We start from the raw sequence: 27,326 nt of genomic DNA on the forward strand, positions 1-27,326 counted from the left end.
TTTTTTAACTTTTCTACCTGCCTTAGTCAGCCTTCCACACAGTCTGTAAGTAACTGGGCTGAGTTAAGCTCTGGAGCCAAAGACTGACTTCGATGGCCCTGCGAGGGTCCACTGAGAGGGGTGGCGTTACCTCCCGGCTGTACAAAACCTCAGTTAAAAACTGTAGACTTGTTGGCTGGGTCAGGGAAGCCATGATGAGCATTTGGCCTTTTTATGTCCTGTTTTTTCTTGGTGTATCAGTTGCCAGAATAGAGGGCTGGCCATCTGACGTTCACCCCACAGGCCTGTGTGGACATCAGGAGCAAAGTTGGAGCCAGAATCCAAGATGAGGTGTCCATGGTCTGGTGGTCCTGGTCTTGCAGGGGAACCGCTTTGCTAGTAGCATCCTGAACCAGCGGGGGAGAACAGCACAGGAGGGCAGCTGCTGAGGCTTGGGTCTGTGTTGGAAAGTGGCATTCACTGGCCTGGAGGAACAAGTGTCAGAGGTGGAGGCTGGCTTAAGGGCATGTGTGGAATTGACTTAATGTGCATTACTGAGCACAGAGCAGAGCCTTCGGATGTTAAATGAAGAACAAAGAACTTTCCCCAAAAAAATCTGTTATAAAGTTTTAATATAAACTGCACATGGAAATAGCATCTCTTCTTCAGTGAATAATTTTAAAGGTTATTTAGCACTGCAGCCTCATTAGTTGCCAAATTTGAAAGACTTAAAGGTAGAGATATGTTGTCTTAAGACTGTCTTCAAGTAGTTTGGGAATTTTTGGGTTATCTGATGAGAACTTGTTTGCTTTTAATAACCTTGTACTGTCCAAATTTAGTTACCTGATGTTTTTAGTTATTTTCGTAAATAATATGAATCAAACCTGAATGCTTAGATACACTCTGGCTCTTTCTAATCTTAACTTTTCCTTTTTTTCCCTCCCTTCACTGCATTCCTTCCTGATTCTTTCTTCATGATCTCGAAGGACTACCATCTTGCTTTACTATTCAAGGTACTTCCCTGTCTTGCCACACATCCTGTGTTCGGGATGAAAACGTTGCATCGTGCTGCATCTCATGCACGTCATCTTGGCCACTGCCCGGCTCGATTCCAGCTCTCGCTGACTTGAGCTTTCTCAGGACCCTGAGCAGGGCTGAGTGGCCACTTTGATCAAACACCTCAGCAAGGACGAGAGTGTTGATGAAATATTTTGCAGAACAACACCTGAGTGCTGAGGGAGGCTGCTAGATGTGCGCATAAACACTTCACCACACAGCACCTGGTTTGGCAGCACTGCCAGGGCATGCCATGGAGAGATCCAGCACTGACCCCAGAGCCTCTGGTCCCGTTTACCTGCGTTCCTCCTAAGAGTCTGCCAGTCTTCATCCACAAAATTAATTTTTCTGTCGTCACTTCTCATATTAAATATAATTCTGGATCCTTAGGTATGTGAGCATGGCCAGCTCCCTTGGAGCAAGCAGGAGCCTTGGGGGCTGAGGCCGTGTGTCCCCCTCTCCTGTCCTATGCAGGGAGCCCAAGCTGATTCAGGGATGAATGGCGGGTGGAGGGAACCCTGTGTAACAAAGTGAGCCAGGAACAGGAGGACAGGACAAAGGAATGGCTGGGACCAGAGGACAGAAAGTCCCCAGTGGTTTCTTCTGTGGCCTTGTAGATTCCGGGGCAGTGCAGGGTGGTGTCAGCAGCTGGCTCCTCTGACTCAGTACCAGATTCGGCACTGGAGGGCAGACCTGGGGCCACCGTCTCCTGCCCTACCTGAGCAGGAGTTCCATGGGAAACCTCTATGTAGAATCGGCTGCGGCTGCCCTTGTGTTGGTCATTCTCATCCAAGTTATCTCCCATGTACCTCTGAGGTGGGGCCCAGGGTCCACATCAACAAGCAGCTGACGACCCCTCAAGCACCATCACTAGAGTGTGGCTGGTGGTGGGGCCCCCTCCTAACCATCTCCCACCTCCCCACAGGACTCAGGACACCCCTGCACGGCGGCCGACCCTGACAGCTGCTTCACGCCTGTGTCTCCGCAGCACTTCATCGACCTCTTCAAGTTTTAAGGGCTGCCCCTGCCATCCCTATTGGAGATTGTGAATCCTGCTGTCTGTGCAGGGCTCATAGTGAGTGTTCTGTGAGGTGGGTGGAGACTCCTCGGAAGCCCCTGCTTCCAGAAAGCCTGGGAAGAACTGCCCTTCTGCAAAGGGGGGACTGCATGGTTGCATTTTCATCACTGAAAGTCAGAGGCCAAGGAAATCATTTCTACTTCTTTAAAAACTCCTTCTAAGCATATTAAAATGTGAAATTTTGCGTACTCTCTCTCTCTATATATATAGTTCAAAAATACTTTAGGTGGTCAGCTCCACATTCTTTGTTGACGTGACACTAACGGCCAATAATATGCTTCTTAATTATCAAATTATAGTTTCCCAATTGGGAAACTAATTGGGGGTGGGTTACAAAACATTTGATCCTTGTAAATACATTGTACAGAATATTTATTTTTTCTCAAAATGCATTTTAACTACTACATTGGCTGTGCCCAAATGAGTCCTCTTTGAATAGAAAGTGAACCCAGGGCAATGACAGCCATTCTTGTCTTAGGGATTATGGATCGGGGTATGAAGTGTGCACACGCAGCCCAACAACGGGCAGTGGTCTCTGTGCTCCTAGGCATCCAGCACAGGTTCTGGCAGGGCACCCCTGCTGGGGTTGGGGGCTGGTCTGTGCATAATCCTGGACTGTGATGGGAACAGCCCAGTGCAGTCTAAACTTCAATTGTGTTGAAACTACTTTAATAGACAAAGTAATAAATCATGTTTATCTATTGATTTAAACTTCATCAGTTTTGCATCCTACTGAGAAATGTTAGTGATTTTGATACTTAAATCCTTAAAAGATTGCTTCGTTTTTAAAATAACGCATGTCCATTTTAGAAAATTAGAAAATCAGTCCCACCACCCAAAGATTATTGTGCATGCTGAAAAGAGTATGAAAAATCCCCTCAGCAGGCATAGGATAGAAACGTATTGTTGTATATTTCCATTTTTGAATAGGGTCAAGGAGCCCAAGCAAATCATTTCTACTTTTTCCTTTAAGCATAATAATAAAAGTATACTTTTATGGCGTTATAAATAGGACTAAAAAAAGATTCTGGATTTTTCAGCCCCACTTCTGTGAACTGACACAAATGGCCAAGAATGCATTTATTTGTCAAATTATAGTTTCTCCTGAGGCGATGCAAATACCTGGGGCCTCTGCGAATATATGTTAGTTTTTCATAAGACCATAAATGTCCCGTATACCACTGTTACTTCACAACGCCCCCCGTCCCGACCCTGCCTTTTTTTAGAAACGTAGAACCATATCCTAAATGTTATTTGGAAACTTGGCTTTTATTAGCTCCACAGAATCACCCAGATGGAACAGGCTTTTTCATCACAACATATTGGGGTTCCTGAGTGTCTCGCCGTTAGCATCAATAACTATGATAAGCATCGTCACACAACAATGTGGCCGTCTCCTTACAACCACTGGTAGTACAGCCAACATCATGAGTCAAACATATTTTAAGGCTTTTAAATATATTTCTAGATTGTTCATGAAAAAAAATTTTTTTGGAGTTTGTTTTTGAGACAGGGTCTTGCTCTGTCACCCAGGCTGGAGTGCAGGGGTATGATGTCGGCTTACTGCAACCTCTGTCCCCCAGGCTCAAGTGATCCTCCCACCTCACCCTCCAGTGATCCTCCCACCTCAGCCTCCCAAGCAGTCAGGACCACAGGCATATACCACCATGCTCAGCTGTTTTTTTGTATTTTTAGTAGAGATGGGGTTTCACCATGTTGCCCAGGCTGGTCTCAGGAGTTTGAGCTCAAGCAATCCACCTGCCTCAGCTTCCCAAAGTGCTGGGATTACAGGCATGAGCCACCACGTCCAGCTGAGAAAAGAAATTGTTCTAATCTAGGAAAGGGAGTAAGTACATTGAGTTTCCATTATCCCTGAAGCACAGGTATTTCTTTTTCTGTTGGTGCTGTTTTAATAAGTGAAGAATTTGATGTATGATAAATTGTGAGCTTGAATATTTCCATATATTTATTATCCATTTGCTTTTCTTGTTTTTGGTAAATTACTTAATGTGGTATTTGCCTGTTTTTTGGGGTGGATGTCAGTCTTTTTTCATGTTAGTTTCTTCTTAAAAGGAAACTATCCTTTTGAAGTTGTGGTTCTTTCCCCTAATTTGTCATATACTGTTACTGTCATTTAATTGTTAGATGTTATAACAGTTCTCAGCTGTGCTATCAAATCACAGATGTGCATTTAACTTGTATAAATTGAGCAGTACTTGCTTGGAAAACATAACCATATTAATAGTGTAGGATTCCAGCTGTTCTGCTGGGCTGGCATATTTCCACAGGCCATGGACACAGCTAGCCGCATTGCCACTGCATGGGTCACAGCCTCCTGCAGGTGCGTTCGAGGGACAAGCTGTGGGAGCTGGGCAGGTAAGCAGGGATGGCTTACATTGCTGGGGAGAGATTGAAAGGTTAATGGAGGGTATAAGGACAGAATAAAGACAATTTTGAGGCACTGATCAGTTATTTACAGAAGATCGGACAACACCAAACAGAGATGAGAAGAGAAATCATAGATCTCCACTTTGGAATGGTATTTTTGAATACAGTTTCTATCAGGGGGCCTTCCAAAAGTAGGGATGCCACTCCTGTGAGATTAAGTTACATTCTGATGCCTTCATTACAATGAAGTAGATAATTCAGGACCCCAGGAGCCTAAAGCCAGGTAGTAAGTTTCACTTGCCCATCGCTCCTGTGAAAGGCAATGCCAGACACTCTCAAGATAGAATCTCCAGTCATTCTCGGACCTGTTCTCAGTCTGCGCTGCTCACTCAGGGCTGGTGTCTCTTGACACCCAGTTACAACTTCCTTTTGCCTATTTTGAGTCAAAAAGTCACATTCCTCACCTAATTTATGAATACACACAAATTGGAAAGCCATGCAGTAGCCTCTCAGGAGCAGACCGATTTGTAGCTGTCGTGGTTTACTGCATGACGTACAGGCTCTCTGTATGCACTGTGTGTGCGTACTGTACAGGGCTGTACACAGCAAACTGTGTCTACTTTATGGAAAAAATTTAACCATCTGTGAACAGTTTTTTGCCTTAAGTGCTGCTTTTAGAACCAAACTGTCATATAAGATTTATCAGCTCTTTTAACACCTTTGTAGATTCCTGATGCTGTGTACAAAATCATGTCATCTATGAATAGACAGTTTCACTTCTTCCTCTCAGTCTAGATGTCCTTTATTCTTTCTTACCCCGTTTCGCTGGCTAGAATCTCTAGTACAATGTTGAATAGCAGTGCGAGAGTGAACATCCTTGTCTTGTTCCTCATCTTAGGGGAAAGCTTTCAGTCTCACCATTAACTATGATGTTAACCCTGGGTTTTCCATACATACCCTCTATTAGGTTGGGGAGGTTCCCTTCTATTCCTAGTTTGTTTTTATCGTGAAAGGGTGTGGATTTTGTCAAATGCTTTTTCTGCATCTCTTAAGATAATGTAGTTTTTGGCCTTCATAAGATCATGTGCTGTTATTACATTGACTGATTTCTATATCTTGAACCAACCTTGCATTCTTGGGTCAAAGCCCACTAAGTCATGGTTTATGATACCTTTTATACATAGCTGTTAGATTTGGTGTGCTGGAACAGCCAGCCCTCTGTATCCACGGGGGATTGGTTCCAAGACCCCCACCCCCACCCCACCTGCCACCCACCACCTTGTGATCTCTTGGGTTTTGGTGTCCATCTCATAGGATAAGCTTAGAAAGTGTTCCCTCTTCTGTGTTTTGGAAGTGTTTGTGGTGGTTTCTTGTTAATTCTTCTTTAAATGTTTGAGAGAACTCCATATAAGATTTGAAGTCACTGAGAAGCTTCAATTATCCTTTAAGAGGATAAGACCATTTTCTCCAGAGATGCCTTTTAATGGTTTTTCTTTTCATTGCGAAGGCCTAACTTAGTAGATAAGTGGACTGTGAAACCTAGTCTGTTCTGCTTATCTTCAGAATTATCAAAAGGAAGGGGTGCTGCCCTCTGAGAAAAGTCAGAAGCAAGCCTGCCTTATGAAACTCGACTTTTTAATCTCCCTCTCTTCATTATGATGTGTGCACGTGATGGACACCACTCACCTCCCTTTAGTCCCTATCAAATGCTACCCAATGGCAAAGCCAAGGGATTAGCAACAGGTAGGAGGAAAAAGAAGGACCTGCATACATGACTAACCAGCACCAGCCATTGGGGCCCTCTATGGCTGACACCAGCATCCACCCTGCACTCATATGTATCTCAACAGAATTGCTGCTTCTGTCTTCACTCAAGCCCCACTCCTTATCCCTTCCTGTTGTTTCTGCATAGAGGAGGCAGACCCTCAACTTTGGAAAGCAGTGTCCCCCCGCGTCCCATGGGCTAAATGCCACTGAGCCGGTAGGAGCTGCTCAGGTGTAGCCTCTGCCTTCAGAATTTCAGCAGGAACTGCATCATTGTGTGCCTAAAAAGCCCTGGCTCACAGCATGAGACAGTGTGTTCTAGGTGGTAACGTGGCACCTGCACATGCACCCCCAGCAGTCCTCTCTAAACTCAGGCAGTGTATGGCTGCTGCCATTCTCGCCCTCAGCATCTGTGAGATGAAGGAGTTGCTCCCCAGGGCACCTGCCCCAATACAGGCCACGTGGATCTGCCATTGCTTTTCACGTGAATGCCTAGGAGAGGCTGTTAACCCTCCTAGTTGTCCTTTTTGTACTTGGTCCTCTTCCTTCCAATCCTCACTGGCTCAAATCCACAGAGTGACAAAGAACAGAGATGCCCAGAGCACCAGCTGGAGGGGCAAGCAGGAGAAGGCACTGCTGGTGCCACAGGGGTCCTGGGCTGGCTCTTGGACCATAACCAGCGTTCACTGAGGATGCGGTTTCTTTGAAATGCTCTTGTTCTTCCTAAGTAAGGGAGAGCAAAAAAAATGAGGACATCTGTGTCAAATAGAAGAGACACCTCAACTGTCTCGTTTTTGCATGGAAATTTCATTTTTATTTGATAATCATTTGAGAAACTTGCACAGATGAAGGCAAGTTGGTTTTTATTATCTAACCTATGTAGTCAATTCTAATGTCATTTAAAAGAATTTGACATGTTAAAATACACGTGAAATTTACCATCTTACCTATTTTAAGTGTGCAATTTAGTGGCATTAAATACATTCATACTGTGCAACCTTCTCTACCACGTATCCACAAGTTCAACTTTACAAGATGAACTTTTGTCATCTTGTAAAACTGAAGCTCTGTACCCATTAAGCACCAACTCCCTATTCCCCATCCACCAGCCCCTGGCAGCCTCTGTTCTCCTTTGTCTCTTTTAATTTGACTTCTGTAGGGACCTCGTATGAGTGGAACCAGAAGGGATTTGTCCTTTTGTGACTGGCTTATTTCACTTAGCGTAATGTCCTCAAGGTTTATTCAAGTTGTAGGATATGTCAAGATTTCTTTTTAAGGCTGATTCTATGGATGGACCACATTTTGTTTGTGTACTCATCTGTTGAGGACACTTGAGTTGCTTCCACCTTTTAGCTATTGTGAATATTGCTGCCGTAAACATGGGTGTGCAAATATCTGAGTCTCTGCTTTCAATCATATGGCAATCCTATGTTTAATTTCTTAGGGCACTGCCATAAGTGTTTTACACGGTGGCTGCACCATTTTACATTCCCACTGAAGGTTCCAGTTTTGCCACATCCTTGCCAACACCTGTTTTTAATAATTGCCATCCTAATGAGTGTGAAGTGGTATCCTGCTGAGATTTTGATTTGCATTTCCGTAATGACTGGTGATGCTGAGTATCTGTTTGTTGGCCGTTTATATGTCGTCTTTGGAGAAATGTCTATTTGGGCTCTTTGTCCATTTTTCAATCAGGTGTGTGTTTTTATATGTTCTGGGTATTCACCCTTTTCAGATATATCATTTTAAAATACTTTGTCCCATTCCGTGGATTGCCTTTCACTCTGTTTTGTTCTTTGATGTACAGAAGTTGTTTCTTTCTTTTAGTTACCTGTGTGTGCCTCTGGTGTCATATCTAAGAAATCACTGCCTCACCCTTTTCAGATATATCATTTTAAAATACTTTGTCCCATTCCGTGGATTGCCTTTCACTCTGTTTTGTTCTTTGATGTACAGAAGTTGTTTCTTTCTTTTAGTTACCTGTGTGTGCCTCTGGTGTCATATCTAAGAAATCACTGCCAAATCCAATGTTGTTAAAAGTTTCCCTTATGTTTCTCCTAAATGTTTTAGTTTTAGCTCTTAGTTTAGGCCTTTGATCTATTTTAATTTTTATATATGGTGTGAGGTAGATCTAGCTTCATGTGGATGTCCACTTGTCTAGCACCATTTGTTGAAAAGACTGTCCTTTCTCCCTTGAATGGTCTTGGCACCATCAAAAATCATTTGACCCATATGTGCAAGGGTTTATTTGGGGATTTGCTATTCTGTTCCATTGGTCTACATGACTGTCTTTGTTTCAATACAACACCATTTTGATTATTGTAGCTTTGTCGTAAGTTATGAAATAAGGAAGTGAGAGACCTCCTACTTGGTTCCCTTTCAAGATGATTTTGGCTGTGTGAGGTCTCTTGAGATTCCATATGAGTTTCAGGATGGAAAAAAAAAAGCCACTGGGATATTCTGATAGAGATTGCATGAAATCTATAGATTGCTTTGGACTATGGACATCTTAAGGTATCCAATCCATAAACACGGGATTGCTTTCTATTTATTTGTGTTGACCTTACTTTCTTTAAGCAGTGTTTTATGGTTTTCAAGTACAAGTCTTTTGCTTCCTTAAGTTTATTCCTAAATATTTCAGTTTTTTTGTTACTATTATAATGGAATTTTCTTAAATTTCCTTTTGAGATTGCTTGTTATTGTATAGAAATATCATGGATTTGTTGTGTTGATTTTGTAAACTGCAGTGTTACTGAAATTTTTTTTTGTATATGTATGGACACTAGGATTTTCTACATATAAGATCATGTCATCTGCAAACAGATAATTTTGCTTCTTCCTTTCCAGTCTGGATGCCTTTTATTTCTTTTTCTTGCCTAACTGCTCTAAGACTCCAGTACTGTGTTAAACAGAAGTGGTGAGACAGGGTATTTCTGTGTTGTTCTTGATCTTAAAGTCCTTTCAGTCTTATTGAATATGATGTTTACAGTGGGATGTTCATATGGCCTCTATTTTAGGTTGTTTCCTTCTATTCCCAATTGTTGAGTTTTTATCATGAAAGGGCATGACATTGTCTCAAATGCTTTTTCTCCATCAATGGAGATCACATTTTTTTCCTTCATTCTATTAATGTAATAGACATTACATTTATTGACTTGAGCATGTTGAAACATCTTTGCATACCAGCTGTAAATCTTACTTGGCCATGATGTGTAATCCTTTCAATGTCCCACTGAATCCTGTTGGCCAGTATTTTGTTGAATATTGATTTAAAAAAATCTTGATCAGGAATACTGATGTGTGGTGTTTTTTTCTTATAGTGTCTTTGTCTGGTTTTGGTATCAGAATAATGATGGCCTCATAGAATGCATTTGGAAGTGTCCTTTCCTCTTCAGTTTTTTGGAAGAGTTTGAGGAGAATTGATTTAATTCTTCAGATGTTTGCCAGAATTCCCATATGACCCTGGGCTTTTCTTTCTTGGGAGGCTTTTCTTTACTACTTCATGCTCTTGACTAGCATAGGTCTGTTCAGATTTTCCATTTCTTCATGATTCAATCTTGATAGGCTGTGTGTTTCTAAGAATTTGTCCAGTTCATCTAGGTTATCCAATTCTTTGATATGTAATTGCTCATAGTACTCTTAATCCTTTTTATTTCTGTAAAATCAGTTGTAATGTCTCCTCCTGGTTTTTAGTTGTTTTTCTTAGTCACTCTTAGCTATCAACAAACTCTTGGTTTCATTTATTTTTCTCTATTGCTTTTCTGTTCTCTATTTTGTCTCTGCTCTAATCTTTATTATTATTATAATCATCTCCATTCTGCTGGCTTTGGGTTGATTGCTCTTCTTTTTCTAGTTCTTTCAGATGTAAATTTAGGGTTGACTTGAGATCTTAATTTGTTTAATAGGTGTATTTACAGTTACAAATTTCCCTCCTACCACTGCTTTGACTGTACCTGTTTTTTTGTATATTACATTTTTCATTTACCACAAGATATTTTCTAATTTCCCTTGTGAGTTCCCCATTAATCTGCTGGTTGAGAGCGTTGTTTAATTTTCACATAATTGTGTACTTTTCAGTTTTTTGTCTGTTACTGATTTCTAGTTTCATCCCACTGTGGCCAGAAAAGATATTTTATTTCCTCAGTCTTTTGAAATTTGTTGACTTGTTTAGTCATCTAACATACTGTCTATCCTAGAGAAAGGTCCATTTGCACTTGAGAAAAACGTGTGTACTGCTGTTGTGTCTGTTAGGTCCAGCTGGTATGATGCTGTTCAAGTTCTGTCTTGCGACTGATCTTCTGTCTGGTTGTCCTATCCGTTACTGAAAGTGGGCTACTGCAGTCTCCTACTCTTACTGTAGAACTATCCATTTCTTCCTTTGATTCTGTCAATGTTTGTTTCATATATTTTGGGCTCTGATGTTTGGTGCATATATATTACATCTTGGTGAATTTTCAAACTTTTTAAATTTCAACATGAAGATGAAATTATAGGATGTCTGGGATTTCCTTTGAATCCGTGGGGCTGGGAGTAACTATAAATGAAACAAGATTGGCCGGGAATTTGAGGCTGCAAGGATAGGTACACACAGGGGAGTGAAGCAGGGCTTGGAGCAGATGGTAAAGATTGTTGGCTTTTCCAGCCATGGGGCTCTCTTGCCACTTGGCAGTAGTGGCATGAAGCCGCCACCAGGGGGCCACGCACCAGTGCATGTGGCTGTGTTCCAAACTTTTTGGACAATAAAATCTGAATTTCACATACTTTTCTTATGTCATTAGATATTACCCTTTTACATCTTTTCACTATTTAAAAATGTAAAAATCATTCTTAACATTTGGGCTGTGCAAAAACAGCTGGTGGGCCCAATTTTGGCCTGTATTTCACTTGCCAACCTGATTTATACTTTTGTATCTATTTGACATTTTCCATTAAAAGTTATATAACACTACTTTTTTGTACTCGTTACTTTTTAAAAAAAACTTTCTACAATGAAAATACATTATTTTTACAATAAAAAGCCAAAATACATACACAAAAATGTTACCCATTAATTATGGGAATTACTTCAAGGTAATTCTTATTTTGAAATATCTTTCCAATATTTTCTCTTATATCGCTTTTTGAAGACGCATAACATGATCCCAAATAAACAGTTGAATAAACACCACCCTCCTCTCCCCTCCTGCCCAGAAACCCACCCATCTGGAGCTGCATCTCCCAGGAAAGGAGACTCTAGAGGGAACCGCCTTCTTGCATTTCTCTAGCCTGGATTCCCATGGGAAAGATGTGTATCTTCATGCTGAGCTTTGAAGATTCTTACAGAATAAAAATTCTTACCATATCCTTCTGTCTTAATAGCACGTTTTAAAGTCTCTAGGGAGAAGAGATTTCTGTAAACACTAGTTTCCAAAGAATAAAAAAAAAAATCACTTCTCAAAACTCAAATGGTATTTCCCATCACCCCCACACCATCCAGATTTGTTCAGCTTTCTTGAAAATAAATTATCTAAATTTTTAAAAATATTTTCCTAAAACTCTAAACAGAAGTAACGTCAAAGGGATCAATAGCCTCACTTCTTATGAAAGCTAAAACTCTACCCCTTTATCAAAAGCTAAAACTCTACCCCTTTATCAGTAAGTAAGTGAAAATATCTTTGCAACTCTGAAAAACCATGCTGGGACATTAATTTCTAAATACTTAAATGGCGGCCAGGTGCAGTCCCTCACACCTGTAATCCCAGCACTTGGGGAGGTCGAGGCCAGAGATTGCTTGAGCGAGCCCAGGAGTTCAAGACCAGCCTAGGCAATATAGCAAGACCTCGTCGCTACAAAAAAAAAAAAAAAAAAAAAAAGAAAAAGGAAAAAAGCCAGGCATGGTGGCACACGTGTAGTCCCAGTTACTCAGCAGGCAGAGGTGGAGGCTGCAGTGAGCTGTGTTTGTGCCACTGTACTCCTGACTGGGCAACAGTGTGAGACCCTGTCTCAAAAAATACATAAATATTTAAGTATCCACCCGAACTGACAGCCTTATAGTACCGGGGTGGGGGGCGGTCACTGTTACTGTCAGACACACTTGAAAAAGATGAAACCACTCACTGGTAAGATAACAGTTGGTCACCAAAAGGCAAAGATGCCAGCATGATGATGATAAGCTTCAAACATAATCAGAAACCCAGTGGATGGAGATTTGCCATGAAACAGCAGGTCTTGGAGATACAGTAACCAAAACTTAGAGAATGGAATACCTCATAAAGGTGACATGCCCTTCAGTGGTGATGAAACCAGTCTTTGAATCAGAGAAAGGCACAAAGGAAAGCAGCATGTTCCCAAGGCACACATGCCAGGAGAAAACAAGCCCACCAGCAGGAGGCCTGCCTTTAACACTCACCTGCTGGTGTGAGAGCAGACGAGGCTGCAGCCACATCAACCCTGGCTCTCCTATGTAACATTCACTCAGGACTGCCCGTGCCCCTCCAACGGGCTCAGCGCCATTCATGTTGCTTATCTGTTAACCTCTTCCCCAAACCCTGCTCTTCCAGCAGACGGCGCACACACTGTGCCACACGTGTGGCTGAAAGGATAGCCATGCGTGGGGATAGCCGGAGGTGCGGTCGCTCCCCAATTACTACATTTTCCCTCTAAAAACTTAAGTGTCACATTTCAAAACACCAGCTTCTTTAGCAAACCGGTTTTTCTGTACATAACCCAGACAGGCACCTCTCTGGGGCCCCCATGTCTACACAGAGTTGGGCACTGCCCTGGACTCTCATCTACCTGATGGACAGCTGGTGCAACTTTATCAGCTGTCAGCCTTAAATGAAGAGGCTCAGAAAATACGGGGAAGTGTCTAGCACATTCAAGCACACATTTTGAGGATGGCCACCTGGGGGATGGGCTCTACACAAACAGGGTCAGCGTTCCACAGTGGAAAGTTAAGGCTTCACTCATATAGGCAGGAGCCGAGATATCGCAGAGTCTTGCCGTTTTCCACAGACCAGTGTGTGCGCTATGGCAATATGACCCATTACAGATGGCTGCACTCCACAAAGTGAGGAGCAGTGATCTCAGGGGCCTCATCTCTGATGCATTTGGTCGTTTATAGGGAAAGAAAGGCAGAGGTTGCAGCTGTATGCTCCGTGGCTCCAGCTGCATAGCTGCATTCCTTCCAAGACTCAATATTTTTTGAGTGCTTTTTTAAATTTTAGTTTCAGGGGGCACATGTGCCCCTTTGCTACATGGGTATGTTGCATGGTGTGGGGTCTGGGTTACTTTTGAACTCATCACCCAAACAGCGAATGTAGTGCTCAATAGGTAGCTTTTCAACCCTTGTCCCCTTTCTCCTTCCCTCCTCCCTTTTGGAGGCCAGAGTAAAGTTCCAATGGCTTGAAGTTTGAATTAAGTTTGACTTACTGAGTTTCACACAGCTTTATAACCAAAGGTCACACAATCATGCTACCCCTTAGTGAGGAAAGCAAGGGGCTCTGTAGCATCTTGGCTGTTATGTGAGCCACGTGCACTAATGCAGCCTTCATTCAAGCTCTCCTCTCCTTCCTCCTCAATTCAGCATCTACCGAGGGGAAGGCGATGGTCTGTGACACAGGTCACACTTAACAGGATCCCTGTAGCATGGAAACAGAGCAGTGTCGTCTGATCTCAAGGTGGTTAGGATGTTTCCAATTCCCATGCAAATTTTTTTACTAGTTCCTCCCACAAAGCTGCTTACATTTGCAGGCGGGTTGGGGGGTGGAATCAAATGGTCTCACCTGCATTTTCACTGCTATGACCTCTTTTCTGGATCTGAGAGGGAGTACAGCAGGTACCTGTCCCAGGTGGCGGGCCACATCCCTGGCTCTCTGCTTGCAGAAGAGGTGCCAGGACACAGCCCTCGAGAAGCGTAGAGAGGGCACAACTGAGAGATGCTTAAGGAATAAGGGGAGCCAGGTTAAAGATCCAGTTGTTACCACCTGAGCCTAATGTTACCACTAATGGTGGATGTCAGACACTATGTGGCCCTGCTGTGCACAGGGGCCCAGGAGCTGCCCCGAAAGGAAGCAGCAGCTTGGATTAACCGAGCCTTTAGATCCAATTTCTTGTTTGTAGGCAGTGCTAAGGATGGAGGAGTGAGTTGAACACCTCAAACAGCAGTGTGTTCAGGAAAAGCTGCGAGGGAAGGGAGACAGGGGGCTCCTGTTTCCAACATCAAAAGATTTCAGAGATAGAACAGCCATATATGATGCACGATCATGGTTTTGGGAAAAAACAGCTAAAAGGTACATTCCAGACAATTGGGAACATATATATATGTATTAGATGATACAGGAAATTAATTTTGTTAGGTGTGCCAATCATATTTACTTATGCAGGCAGCATCATTTTTTTTTTTTAGAAATATATGTTGAAGTACTTGGGGGTGATACGGTGTCCGTAATTTACTTTTAAATGGTTAAATATATGTATGGACACACAAAGCAAATATGACAAATACAACCATTATTGAATCGCAGTAGCTGAGTTTATGGATGTCCATTGTACTACATACTTTTGCATAGATTTTATTTTTCATCATAAAAAAATTTAAAAACTGAAATGCTTGTCAACCCCCCCATCTCGAAAAAGCCAAATTGAAATACACCTGGTTAATTATGAGAATTAACCACTATCTGAGGATTAAGTGTGATTTGTTTCCCTTCCTTCATCCCACTGGCCTCAGGAATGGAAAATACTTTAAAGGGAGAAAAAACTCAAACTGTGACCATGAGCCTCCACCCCATCCTGTCCTGTCTGCTTCTTGTGTCAGAGCCACTAAGGGAAAAATCACTAAGTTGTCACAATGGCTGGGTGCAGTGGCCTACAACCCAGCACTTCGGGAGACTGAGGCAGGAGGATCACTTGAGCCCAGGAGTTGGAGGTTGTACTGAGCCCTGATCATGCCACTGCATTCCAGTCTGGGTGACAGAGCAGGACCCTGTCTCTAAAAAGGTTTTTTAATAAAAACAAAAAATAAATGGTCACACATTCCTAAGATGCATTAGGCTTTGCTGGGAGATGGCCCTTCTAGTTCACCATTGAGCTTAGCATTTGCTGCTGTTAAAATTAGAATAACCTTTATTCAGGATGTGCTCCTCCAAGATGAAACGGATGTCCGATTCTGGGAGCCGGAGGAACACGCTGCAATGCACTTTCAGACTCTGCAAGGAAGAGTGGGCAGGCACACAGAATCTCAGGAAGACGGTTCAGGGCGGCGGGGACATTCATCATGTGTTTACCGTCGGCTCTGACAGCCCGGCTTGAAGCTTCCTTCTAAGGATAGAGACTGAGCAGAGACTCCATGTGTCCTGGGCCTCAGTGGATAAAATTAGAATATGCAGGAGCCTGGGCAAATGAACCTATGACCCTGGGCAGCTGGCAGACTTTAAAAGCGAATTCCAGGTACAAGTCTGTTTTTTTAAACATCTGCCCAAGGCTGCCATGGACCAAATTCCTAAAGATACCTTGTTGCCCTAGAAATGTCTCCAAAACTCAATACCCCACTAGTTTTCCTACTCTGTCTAGAGACTTGGCTCCCCCCTCCCCCAATTACATGACCTTCTTCCATCAAATCCACTCTCCACACAATGAAGAAAACAGCACCTAATTCTGATGAAAACGTCTGGCCATGGGACAAAGCCCCGCAGGGCCCAGCTTTGGCCTTAATGGAAGGCGGGGTTAGGGGTATGACACTAGCCCCCCGCAAGAGCTCTGCTTCACCTCACACAACCAACCTGGTCCTCACTCTGGGTGAGGTAGAAATGTCACTGGCTCTACTTCCTGTTGATATGGGGACATTGATCCTCTCTAGGGTTGAGAACCAGGATTTAGACCGAGAAATTGACTTTATGGCGTCAAGGGAGAAACAAGCAAGAGAAGAGCAGAAAATGAACAAAATGAACAGGAGGGGACCACAATGGACAGTGGTTCACAGATGAGGGCCTGTTTCAGAAGAAAGAAGAAGCCTCTTGGGGGTGGCACACAGGTGAGAAGAGCCATGGGTCAGGGCACCAAGGAGCCAGCCAGGTGAGCAGGACTCTTGGCGGCACAGGTGCCCCAGGATCTGCAAGAGGATTCTATGAAAGCGCATGCTTAAAGACGCTGCAGGTGAGCCTGCCCGAGAACACCTCCCACACGAGTTGCCCCACGCTCCCCAGGTTTGGCCCCTCCACTGGCTGTTCGGCAGTTCCAGCCCTGAAGCCCCTCGCCCCTCCTCACAGGGCCTCCCACCATCCGCAACCCTGTCCTCACCCACCAGCTTCCTCAGCAAGCAATTCTTTAAAGTGAATCAATTTTAAAGAGTATTAAGAATGTTATAGCATAGATAGCACTCGCGTTACAAAAATGAGAAATCCAAGAACTGAAGTTCAGAAGGCCCACACCAACCACACCCCCCGACTTTTCTCATGTAAACGGGAGGGCATTTCAGAACCCCACTGGCACATGCTGCCAGGGCAGGGCTCCTCCCTTCTGCTTCCAGTGCCTTCTGCTCCCTGGGCCCAGTGCTCAGCCATGGAAGGAGCCAGTGCAGCTGTCACACGGGCATCTCCTGTGGGCATCTTGTGAGGGGGGCTGTCATGCGGTGGCTGCACAGGAAGCAGCCGTGGTATCTGGGGCTGGGTGGCAGCCGGCACGGGACCCAAACCTGGGCCCTACAAACCCTGGGGACCATGTCCCAGTGGAAGCACCACCCTGGGCCAAGACCCTGAAACACTAGAGAAGCTTTGGGAAGGTGCTTTCATGTAGAATGGAGGGAGACAAAGTGGCTTCCTGGCACTTGGGTGGGAGGTGGCAGGGGCTGCATGCAGAGCTGGGATGCAGGCCTGAAAGCTGCATCTCCTCCACCAAGAGCACCCCAGACCCCGACCTCAGCAGCAGGCAAGGGTTGGGGAGGATGTGCCTTCAAGCTGATCGTGTTTTGAATACTTAATAGAACATGCTGCAGTCAGGCCAGGCTGAGGCCGGGCCCACAAGTGGATCCCGCAGAGCACAGCTCAGATCACCAGAGGCCCAGAGTAGGGAGTCGCCCAGGCTGCACTCGTGTTGCTGGCACAGGCCACGGCCTCCTGAGACGGAACTCGGGCCACCACACACCTTATGAGGGATGCCACCCATCCAGCCAAGGGACGCCCAGACTTGACAAAGACTCCCCAGAACCACACAGCACCAAACCCCATCAGGGCCCAGCAACTTCAAAACAAGCTCAAGGCCAAACGGCTGTCTGCCTTGGTGCAAAGATCCCAACTTCAGCATCTGACCCCACACCCCACACCAGAGGGGGACCTCCCTAGGGAAATGCCAGAGGTCATGGTGGCAGGTGGCGCCTTCCACAAGGGAGCCCCAACGCTGTCACAGTGGCTCAGACCTGGTGCAGGCATGCCCCTTTCCTGCCGAGACTCTGGGGACGTGGCCTTGGCCTCGAGCCTGTCTGTCCTCAGCAGGCTGTCCCTGGTGGTCTGTGTGAGCTTCCCTGCACCTGTGATACTTTGCCTCATTCCTGGGAAATGCTGCATAAATACCCACAACTGAATGAAGGTTGCCCTTCCTCCGCACCTCAGTCTGCAGTCTCCCATCATCTGGTGTCATTCCACCTGCCACAGAACAAACTCATTCCAGGCGTTTAAGAGCGGGACTCTTGGACCTCACTCAGCATCTATAAAATGGGCACAGCAATGCCGGCATTGCAGGACTGTGCTAAGGCCCCAGAGGGAGGCAAGGGCAAAGCACAGGTGTCTGACGGGTGTGGCGCAGGTAGGCGTCAACGCCTGCTGGGGCCCAGTAAGGCCAGGCCGCAGGCTGGTGTGGCTGCTCTAAGCCCTGCCACCTGCCCCCTCCCTAAACAGCAACAGGAGCTCAGACAGATGTCGCCTGAGCCCCTCCCAGCCGACTGCAGCAGCAGAGGCAGCCGAGCCTCCTCCAAAGCCCACAGGAACAGGGAGGCAACGTGGTCAGGCAGCCCTGCCACTTGTCACTGTTTAAAAATTAGGTCATTTTTTAATAATCTAATAACAAGTACATAACCTAAATAAGAAGTACTTAAAGTTTCATTGTGCTCACTTCTAGTTTTATTTCTGAGCTGAGGTTTTTTGGCAGAAAGTTTAGTTGAATCCTCAAACACAGCTGGCTGTATGAGCTGGAGTTTTCCACCTCAGGGAACTGAAATATATTAATTCAATCAAAAATAGTTTACTTCCTCAGGGGAAGTGAACTGATTTTGTTTTGTTTACCTCCCTCCCACCCCAGCCTTTCACTGTGCCAAGTCATTGCCTAAATTTAATAGCTTGACATTCTGGGAGGCCAATGGCTTTCACCTGCGGAGGGAGTGGGGCGGTCAGCAAGGGGTGCATTTTCAGCTCACCGTGCTCAAGTTGAGAAGGAAAGAGACGGACTTGACACCTCCTAAGGCTTTCAACCCAGTGGAGTAGAAAGCCCCAGACACTGCAACATTCCTGCCTGGCAAGAGGTCCCCTCTGTGCCTGAACTGCACTGAACTGACTCCACCCCAGGCTGTGCCCGCTTCACAGTTTGGTAAACATTGACTTCCCACGATGCCCACATGGAGGCTGCACCTTGAGGAGGAACAGGATACACGCACGCAGCCAGAGAGCAGGACACCCGCGTGAGAGGCAGAGGCGCTTCAGAGATGGCACCAGCAGGACCCCAGGCTTCCAGTTGCTGCCTCGCTTCCCCGCGATCCGAGGTGGAGCTGCTGAGACAGCAATGGCATGTCTAGGAAGCACCACAGGTATACAAGCACTGTGTTTGTGAATAGTCAGTACTCCTTTCTAGTATTTTTTGACATACTCCAGAAACATTAAAAACAGAGGTAAAATTCACCCCATTCTTTCATTTAAACATAACTATTAAAATTTATCATTTATCACATATCTTACTGTGCTTCTTCACAGCAGCGAGGGGGACACGCTCCAGCTCCAACGGGAACGTGTCCGCATCACCAGATGACCCGTGTTCTTGCGGCAACACAGCAGCAAAAGGTGGCTTTGCCTTATCAGAGGCCGCCAACACCAGTGCGCTAATGTCAGACTGTCTTGTGTTAAAAAATACAGATTGCCAAGAAAAACTGGCTTTTAATAAAATAAATGCATTGTTAAATCTCATGTTCTCAGGAGTCAACATAGCAGAGAAGTAAAAGTACAGTGTACTGATGATAGATAAAAGCACCAGGTATTGACAACAAGGAGATGAAATCCACATCCAAGATCTCAGAGACCCTGGCCCAGGAGGGCAGGTGGAACCGGCGATGGAAGTCCACAGCCGGTCCCTCACCTGCCAGCAGCATCATCAACTCTTACCCACCTGCCGATGCCATTTAAAAGTAAAACCTTCTTGGCTGTGGCTACTGGGGTCAGGTGCTCCCGCAACAGAGCCAGAAGCACTGCAGGCATGGAGCAGTATAAACCCTTGCGGTGACCTGGAAGAGGTGATCCCAGTATCATGTCTCATCCTACTGCATCACATCAAATCTGCTCAGCAATTGCTCTTGACAGTACTTTGTCTTTTCCTTTCCTGCAGTACCAGGGAAAAGGGCACAAAAAGCCCAGAAACATGACAAGTGAGTGCATATAATTCAGTCAACCCTCACAGTCCTTAAAACCACAAAACCCCCATGAAGCCTGTGCGGCTCCCGAGGCCACATGACCGGATCAGTGAGGCTGCCAGTACTCAGCATGCTGCCGTTAGAGGGAGTCCCCCCTGCATGTTAACTCCCAGTAACAACAACGGGTGCTGTGCTGATGACCTCAGAACGTGGCAGGCTCCTGGGCCATCGCAGTGACTCACAGCAGTCCTAACAGACAGGCCTGCTGCTTCCTATTGTGCATGAGGAACAAGGTCTCTCAGGCAGAGCTGCAAACACCCACATGGTGAGTCCAGGACAGGGCCTCACATGTGGCATCATCGCCAGCTCAGGATGGGCAAAGGGATGCATGGCAGACAGGCATGCTGGATACTAATTGTGACCTTACAGTTGTCAGGACCTGTACTGGTAATCCCAGTCAACATCACCTTCCATAGCAGTCTCTCTTGGCCCCCCACCACACAAGGGACCCTAGGCGGTGTGCCCCAGGGTGTGGCGTCCCCGCTGTCCCAGGGCTGTCAGCCCAGCAAGGAAGAGACGCCCCACAGAAAGAACATCTTGAACACAGCCATGACAAGAAGGACAATCAGGAAGCTCGGTGTGAGCATCTGGGCTTAAGGGAGGGCGGCTCCACGGAACCGTTCCGCTGACCTCTAAAGACAGGAGACAGAGGGTCATGGACGAAGTGGTGGTGATCAGCCCCTAACCTGGAGACTTCCACAGCCGAAGAAGCTACCAGAGAAACGTGTGGTGCCAGCTGCCTCCCACTCCGGGGCACATCACTCAGCCCAAATTCTCAGTGGGCTTCAGGATGCTGCCTGGGGGTGATGATATGGCTCTGAGCATGGACCCATCCACACCTGCCCGCCTGCTGCCTCGCTCCCAAGGCCCTCCCTGCATTCCTGCCTAAAGCTCACTGGAAATGTCGCTGTCTACACCACCACCACTTTAAACACCCATAGTTGTCTTCCTGGAGGTGGCAGCTTTTATAGCAACTACACCAGTGAGTCCTAAATTCCTAGCAGGGGCTGATGAGCACCAGCTGTATTCTGCAAAGCCCCTCACCCACCCAAACCCTGTGCCTCCTGCCTTTAGCTCTCTATAATTAAAGTGTTTAAATAAACAAGAGCCTTTGGTTATAGCTATTCAAGACTCATCTAAGATGCAGAAAACCTAATCTAAGATTAGGAAGTGTTCAATATTTCACAGCTTCACCAACAACCTTCAAGCTTCACTATTTTCTCCTCAAAGCTCTCTGAGAATACCCTCACTTTATAAACAGAAAAGAAAGCCTGAAGGTCGGCAGCTGGGACCCCTCTCGGGGCTGGTGCTGTGGACCAAGGCCTCAGTGAAAGGGCCACACTGAGCAGCCGCAGATTACTGCCGGGCGCCGTCTCTACTTGGTTACCAAATAACACAGCTCCAGCGTTTGAAATATTGAGCTGTCTTCTTTCAGTAGAATTTTACACTTTTGAACAACTGACAAAAGCTAGTTCACTTTTCTGTTATTAGCTAAAAGCTTAAGTTTTCATTTCCATATGATTGTTCCTTCACAACAGGAATCTCAAAGGTTCTCAGGTAACAGAGTAGTGCTTTTTCTTAAATAGGTGCAGTCAACTGGCTGGACTTGCAGCTTCCCTAACAGCAGACCAGTCCTGAGCCCAGCAGCCAGTGAGAGGTGGCGGTGGCCTGCCCCATCCCCCTCAGGGCTGCTAGCAACAACCAGATGCCAACGCACAAGGCCCCCAATGGCAGGGTGAGGGCTGATGGCCACTGCCAACCACTGACAGAGCCACCACAGCAGCTCTATTAGGTCTGAAGAACTAGAAAACAATAAATCACTTAAATCTGAGGCTGAACTGAGCATAATTTCATCTGATTCAGCCCTCATTTTGATGTCTCATATCCACAATTAGAAACAATTTTGGGATTACAGAACTGCAGGCCAAGAGGGGAATCACTTGTTGCTGCAGTCTGAATCCCCAAATGTTGATTCTGGCTGGTGCTGGGTCAGAGAGTTCACGTGGCAGGTCGCAGCCCGAGGCAGACACACTTTTACCAAGCAACACAGCACCTGGATGACGAGGGCTACTCTGTTTCCGCTGGGGCTGAGACCTGCTCAGTGCATTTCTACCTCATCAGCTGGGCTATAACTGTTTTTCTACTGGAAGGAAAAAAATAAGCAGCAAGCTCTCTCAGTCATTCAGCGCTGTTTAAACAACCTTTGGACTACTCTGAGCAATTTTTTTTTTTTTTTTTTTTTACAGGGCGTCACTCTGTCACCCAGAGTAGAGTGCTCTCTGCAGTTAAGCATTTTTTTTTTGGGTGGGGGGAAATGATCAAGTTAATGTTGAGCACTGGAAAAATCATCTTAGCCAGCTGATCTCTTCAGAGCTGACTCAAGAGTGCCCTGCTGGCTGGTCTTTTGGTTGATCAAGCAAATATAAACTGAAGAATGACTAAAAAAACCTAAAGCAAATTAATGGCTAAAACTAAATTGGTGGAGTGACAGAGGGCAGAATGTTTCCCTCACCTGTGAGACAGCCAGAGGAGGACCGGAATTACATGGCAGGTGTGGGTGAGAGGCTCAGGCTCTGAGGGCACCAGGCAAGACCGGGGGCAGGGGGGAAGGCGGGGGCAAAGTGGGCACCAGTAACATCCATGCTCCCCAGCAAGGGTGGAGTAGGCGACACTGCAGTCCACACTCACCCATGAGGTCGGCGAGAAAGGCCAGGGAATCCAGCTGCCCAGGACGCAGGCCTGAGAAGAGAGATCCCACATGGCCCTGGGCTCCCCGCAAAGCATCTGCACCCCAAAAACGCAGCCTCAAAGGCACTGCAGGCTCCAGGGTCCTGTTCCCATGGGAGTGAACAGCACTCTCTAGAACAGGCCACTGCTTTCTAAAAGAACTTGTTTCTAAGAGATGGTCATCTTTTTTAAAGATACATAAAAATGAATTGTTGCTACTATGTTCATGTTTCTCCACTTGAAAATGAAGAAGTAAAAGCTTAAAGACAGAACTCATGAAATAAAGAACCAAAAACAGCAGCCGGGGTGCCCCGCCACACTGTTGCCCTCCAGAGTGGGGGGCCCTGCACCAAGGACTCAGTCACACACAGGCCATTCAAATACGCAGAAGACACATCTTGAAAACCAAGGTTGAAGTTGTTCATTTATTTGTGAAAAGTCTACATGTGTTGACTGCATTCTAAAATGAGGCTAAATAGGAAAGGTGCCATTAGCTCTGAGTGATTAAAGCCATCGTAAGCAGATGCCAATAATCATGCAAACCAATAAGGAAAGAGCTTAAAAACAGTATTTTTATTTTTAAAAAACCTCAACATTAAGGAGGAACCCTTCTCTGAAGCACATCACTTTCCTATTAAAAAATAAAAAAAGTACAGTAGAAGGAGCACAGGACAACTCTCTTCACACAAGGAAGCTGTGTGTTTACACAATTCAAACACCCAGAATCAAAACCACATTCTCCCATTAACTTGTGAAGATAATAAATTTGCTTTGATAACTTCTTTCAAGAAAAGATAATTTTTCTCCCAAAGCACACCAATAAATATTTATATTAAAAACCACAGTTAATTTAATCAGGCACAGAAGAAAAAATCATTTTTACATTAGTCTTTGTAGATAAGAAAAATTTGATTTACAGTGCATATTCCAATCCCAATCTGGGTTTGTCCTCAAATTTTGAGAAATAGCATAAAGAACTATTTTGCCAACTGTGCGTCACAATTCTATGATTGACGTGAGTTGCAGGCACTTAGCGTTCCAACAGAGGCACGGCAACTGCAGCCATCACAGCCACAGAGCTCCCCACAACATGGGAAGCGTCCCCATCTCCCCACACACGTGATTTCCAGAGTTTCAAACACAGTGTTTACATTCCTGCGCAGCAAGACCATGTTAGCCAAAAACAAACCTACACTGACTTCCGCTGGAAAGTATTTGCAGAAGTCATGAAATGGTGTATGTTTTTACTATCCCAGCAAGCACTTCTCTAGGGAAAAGGACAGTTATGACTATTTACCTGAGGAAACTTAGAATTTGTCAACTTAGCTGTTATACTAAAAATTATGAACTTGTCTCTGTATTATGGAACAAAGAAAACCTCCACAACTTCACCATTTCAAGGTTCTAATACAAGCTGGAATTTTTGTTTGAACACCAATTGAAACATGTCCCCCTTTCAAGACTTGATAAGTAAACTTCTTGTTCTATTAAAAAAAAAAGTAGATGATTGACAGAAGGCTAGATGGATGTAGACTGAGAGAAGACAGACATAGAGGACAGGTGAATAGATACGGATGATTGATAGGTATAAGTGATTGACACAGATTATAGATTTAGCTAGATGGATGCAAAAGTAATTGCTGTTTTTTGCATAACAGATGACAGATCAAGTAAACCTGTTCTATTAAAAAACATGCAGACACTGATAACACTGCAGTGTGTTCTGCCATCAGGCACACTCAGTTATTCCACAGGAACAAACGGAAGGAACATCCACATGCATGAAACAGCACAGGAGTGCATGCCGAGCAACTCAGGAAAGGGTTTTTGTCTTGTTTTTACGTGAGGGGAATGCACAGTGTAACTGGAGGTTTTATTTTACTTTTAAACAAAAAAGAAAAATATACCTTTTCTTTCAAACCACTTTTATCTAAGAGATATCTGCAGGACTTGCTGATAAGAGCCAACCTTCCAGGGACGCATAACTGGCACCTGATACTGTGCAGGATCACATTGTCAAGGACAGTAAGCAGACAGAAAAAGAACGCGAGAGATGCTCTCAAACCGGTCGTCGATTATTCTTGTGGAAAAAACACAGCTTCTTACAGATCTAACACCAATCACAATAGGCATCTCGCTTTGCAAGAACAAACATATGAGCCTAATAAAAAAGAGGCACTTCAGTATTTTATGCACAGTCTTAACTCTCTATAATGAGCAAGACAATGTTTCCTAAATGAAATTATCAACTGACTAAAATTGATCCATACTTCTTTAATCTGTAAACAAAAAAGAGAGCAAATGTTTTAAGAAAATAAAGGGACCGATTTAGAAGTTCAAAAGAGGTAAAAATAAAATTCCAAAAAAGAACCACTGTTACTATCCAGTGGACATACAAGAAGCTATTCCTCCCTCAGCAAAAGATGAACATGCATTTTAAGATACATTTTACTCCCAAATATAAGCTTTGCTTTTCCAGTATTTGTTTACGTATTTGTTTAATAAGAACAAAGTTTAATTTGTCAAGTTAAACAAAATTTAACATAACTTTGGAAGATTCATCTTACCTCCTGACTAATTTTCTAGCAAAAGAAAAGAACTGCATGACAGCTGCATTTATACGTGCTACATACAAGAAAAAGGTACGGAAGTTCTGAAACAGAACTACAACACAGAGCAGCATGAAAATCATTTTGTGAGAAACTGCAAATCATTACTGCTGTATTATGGGAGAGCATCATAAATTCACATCTCCAGTTTCTGCAAAACATGGACTGATAGGTGAATATTTCTGCAATAAGGCAATCAAATGTACAATCCCTGCACGTGTTCACCAAGGAGTCACAGTGTGTGTGAGAGTTCATTAAATAAAGAAACAGAGGTCCAAATATCAAATATAGGCAAAAAGTAGACTCTCTATTCTTTCTAACGCGGAAAAGACTCAACAACTACATGGTATACTCATAAAAGGCCACCATGTCGGGGCACACTTGCCACGCAGCCCCCCTCACTCCGCCTCCTCCGGGCTATCTGTCAGGTGGCCTTTACTCTGCCGTCGGATGCTCACCAGCCTCCCTGCCGCGCGCAGGCTCCACCTGGAGCTGTTGGCAGAGCTGGCCAGGCTGGTGTACTTGGTCGAGCCCTTGGCGTCATCCTCCCAGCCTGACCAGGATGGGTGGCCACCCACGGTGTCCTCAGGGTCAGCCGATATGTCTTCAAGAGCAAGTTTTGGAGGCTCCCAACCTTCAATTTCATCTGGTTTTTTAGACTGTATATTCTGTTTTAAAACCAAATTGTCCCAAAATCCAGATTTCTTCTCTGCCTTCAACTCTTCTTTTAATCGTAAGTTAGTTCTATAGGAGATGAAAGAGTTAGGTGTTGGTGACCCAGGTCTTAGGGCCTCAAGCTTTATCCATTTTACAAACATAAAATTCTTTAAAATTTTAAAAAATTGTTTAGAAAACTAACACAAGTCTATATGAAAAGTTTCAAATATTAAAATTAAGGAAAAATTAGTCACTATATGTTGTTAATGAAGTGTGTAAAAGCCACATTTTAGGACACCACTTGGCAATACATAAGCAAAGAACTAGTTCTGACAAGAAAGAAGTATTATCACACAAGAGAGAACCTCAAGGCAATAGGAAGGTGGTACTCAAGATTTTGAGCAAATCAGATCTATGAGAATCCAGGGTCTAGATTAAGAAACAAGGGAAATCTATTCAATTTATCAAATAGGTTTTCAATTGGATTAACACAGCAAGGTAAGGTCAAGCATTTAGTAGGTAATTTACTCAACAAAAATAAGAATTCAGAACACCATCTACTATAAAAAGGAAATGGTAGCAAGCGACAGCTAGGGAAGAAAGATCCTAAACTACTCTTCACCCTGACTGTCCGCGAGCATCACCTGGGAACATTGTTAAGAACACCAGTGCCCAGGCCCTCTCCTTCCAGATGCTGATGTATTAGCAGGTCGCCTGACAACCAGGGAACCGGTTTACCCATCCTCTACAGATGAAGGATGAAGGTGAAGTCACAGCTCCGCCAGAGCACGAAGGGCCATGTGTCTGTCCTCAGTGCACAGAAGTGCAGAGAAGCAGACCGGGGGCCCACAGTCCTCAAACAAAAGCCAACTCTGTACTTGTAGACTCACCAGGACTCATCTTCTAATCAAACAGCTTCCATAACACGGAGCAAATATGCCATTGGTAATATCATTGGGTAGTCACTGAACTTACATTTTCAACTTTACACTTTTTAAAAATTCTGAAACACTGATGATAAAGTAGCAAGGTCAGTTTAAATGTATTCAATTCTCTAAAATCTTTTACAGTTTACCAGTCAATCCTTTGTATTTTTAACAGTGTTTTTTTTGGTGGTGGTTGTTTTTGTTTTGTTTTGGTTTGGTTTTTTTCTGAAACTACTAAAAATCTTAAGTGAGGCTACAGGCTGCTTTAAGGCTAATAAGTTCAATTTATAATTCTAAGTTATTTTCCACTTTTCCATAACCTTTCAAAATGCCAACAGAGACCCTCAGGACCTTTTATCCAAAGTACAGTTTCTTTTTTTTTCATCGAACACCACAACTCATTTCTGTTGTTTTTTTTTTTTTTTTTTTTGAGACAGAGTCTTGCTCTGTTGCCTCCGTCTCCCACAGGTTCAAGCAATTCTCCTGCCTCAGCCTCC

General features: G+C 44.5%; 2 protein-coding genes across 16 annotated transcripts in view, besides 4 other annotated features; one reads left to right on the top strand and one right to left on the bottom strand.

Moving 5' to 3' along the window:
* The window catches only part of FBXO25 (F-box protein 25), a 71,010-nt gene extending 59,797 nt beyond the window's left edge, over positions 1-11,213 (top strand). For 6 of the 12 annotated variants that reach the window (NM_183421.2, XM_017013314.2, XM_017013313.3 and 3 more), the window contains 2 exons: positions 966-992; positions 1,961-11,213. In NM_183421.2, coding sequence (NP_904357.1) covers positions 966-992; positions 1,961-2,050 — 117 coding nt within the window. In that variant the 3' untranslated portion in view covers positions 2,051-11,213. The remainder of the gene's footprint in view (positions 1-965; positions 993-1,960) is intronic. The other 6 variants (XM_047421684.1, NM_183420.2, XM_024447125.2 and 3 more) reach the window with 1 other exon arrangement.
* Positions 12,293-12,794: an enhancer, noted in NCBI's record as "NANOG-H3K4me1 hESC enhancer chr8:429047-429548 (GRCh37/hg19 assembly coordinates)". NCBI's record gives its function as "activates a minimal SCP1, AML or CMV promoter by ChIP-STARR-seq in naive H9 embryonic stem cells {active_cell/tissue: H9 hESC(naive)}" and the evidence as "EXISTENCE:reporter gene assay evidence [ECO:0000049][PMID:30033119]".
* Positions 12,795-13,294: an enhancer, noted in NCBI's record as "NANOG-H3K4me1 hESC enhancer chr8:429549-430048 (GRCh37/hg19 assembly coordinates)". NCBI's record gives its function as "activates a minimal SCP1, AML or CMV promoter by ChIP-STARR-seq in naive H9 embryonic stem cells {active_cell/tissue: H9 hESC(naive)}" and the evidence as "EXISTENCE:reporter gene assay evidence [ECO:0000049][PMID:30033119]".
* Positions 19,869-20,682: an enhancer, noted in NCBI's record as "H3K27ac-H3K4me1 hESC enhancer chr8:436623-437436 (GRCh37/hg19 assembly coordinates)". NCBI's record gives its function as "activates a minimal SCP1, AML or CMV promoter by ChIP-STARR-seq in primed H9 embryonic stem cells {active_cell/tissue: H9 hESC(primed)}" and the evidence as "EXISTENCE:reporter gene assay evidence [ECO:0000049][PMID:30033119]".
* Positions 20,683-21,494: an enhancer, noted in NCBI's record as "H3K27ac-H3K4me1 hESC enhancer chr8:437437-438248 (GRCh37/hg19 assembly coordinates)". NCBI's record gives its function as "activates a minimal SCP1, AML or CMV promoter by ChIP-STARR-seq in primed H9 embryonic stem cells {active_cell/tissue: H9 hESC(primed)}" and the evidence as "EXISTENCE:reporter gene assay evidence [ECO:0000049][PMID:30033119]".
* The window catches only part of TDRP (testis development related protein), a 55,835-nt gene continuing 51,700 nt past the window's right edge, over positions 23,192-27,326 (bottom strand). For 3 of the 4 annotated variants that reach the window (NM_175075.5, XM_047421392.1, NM_001384899.1), the window contains one exon: positions 23,192-25,990. In NM_175075.5, coding sequence (NP_778250.2) covers positions 25,645-25,990 — 346 coding nt within the window. In that variant the 3' untranslated portion in view covers positions 23,192-25,644. The remainder of the gene's footprint in view (positions 25,991-27,326) is intronic. The other variant, NM_001256113.2, reaches the window with a different exon arrangement.

The sequence above is a fragment of the Homo sapiens genome, chromosome 8 (genome assembly GCF_000001405.40).
Source record: "Homo sapiens chromosome 8, GRCh38.p14 Primary Assembly".
Lineage (NCBI taxonomy): Eukaryota > Metazoa > Chordata > Mammalia > Primates > Hominidae > Homo > Homo sapiens.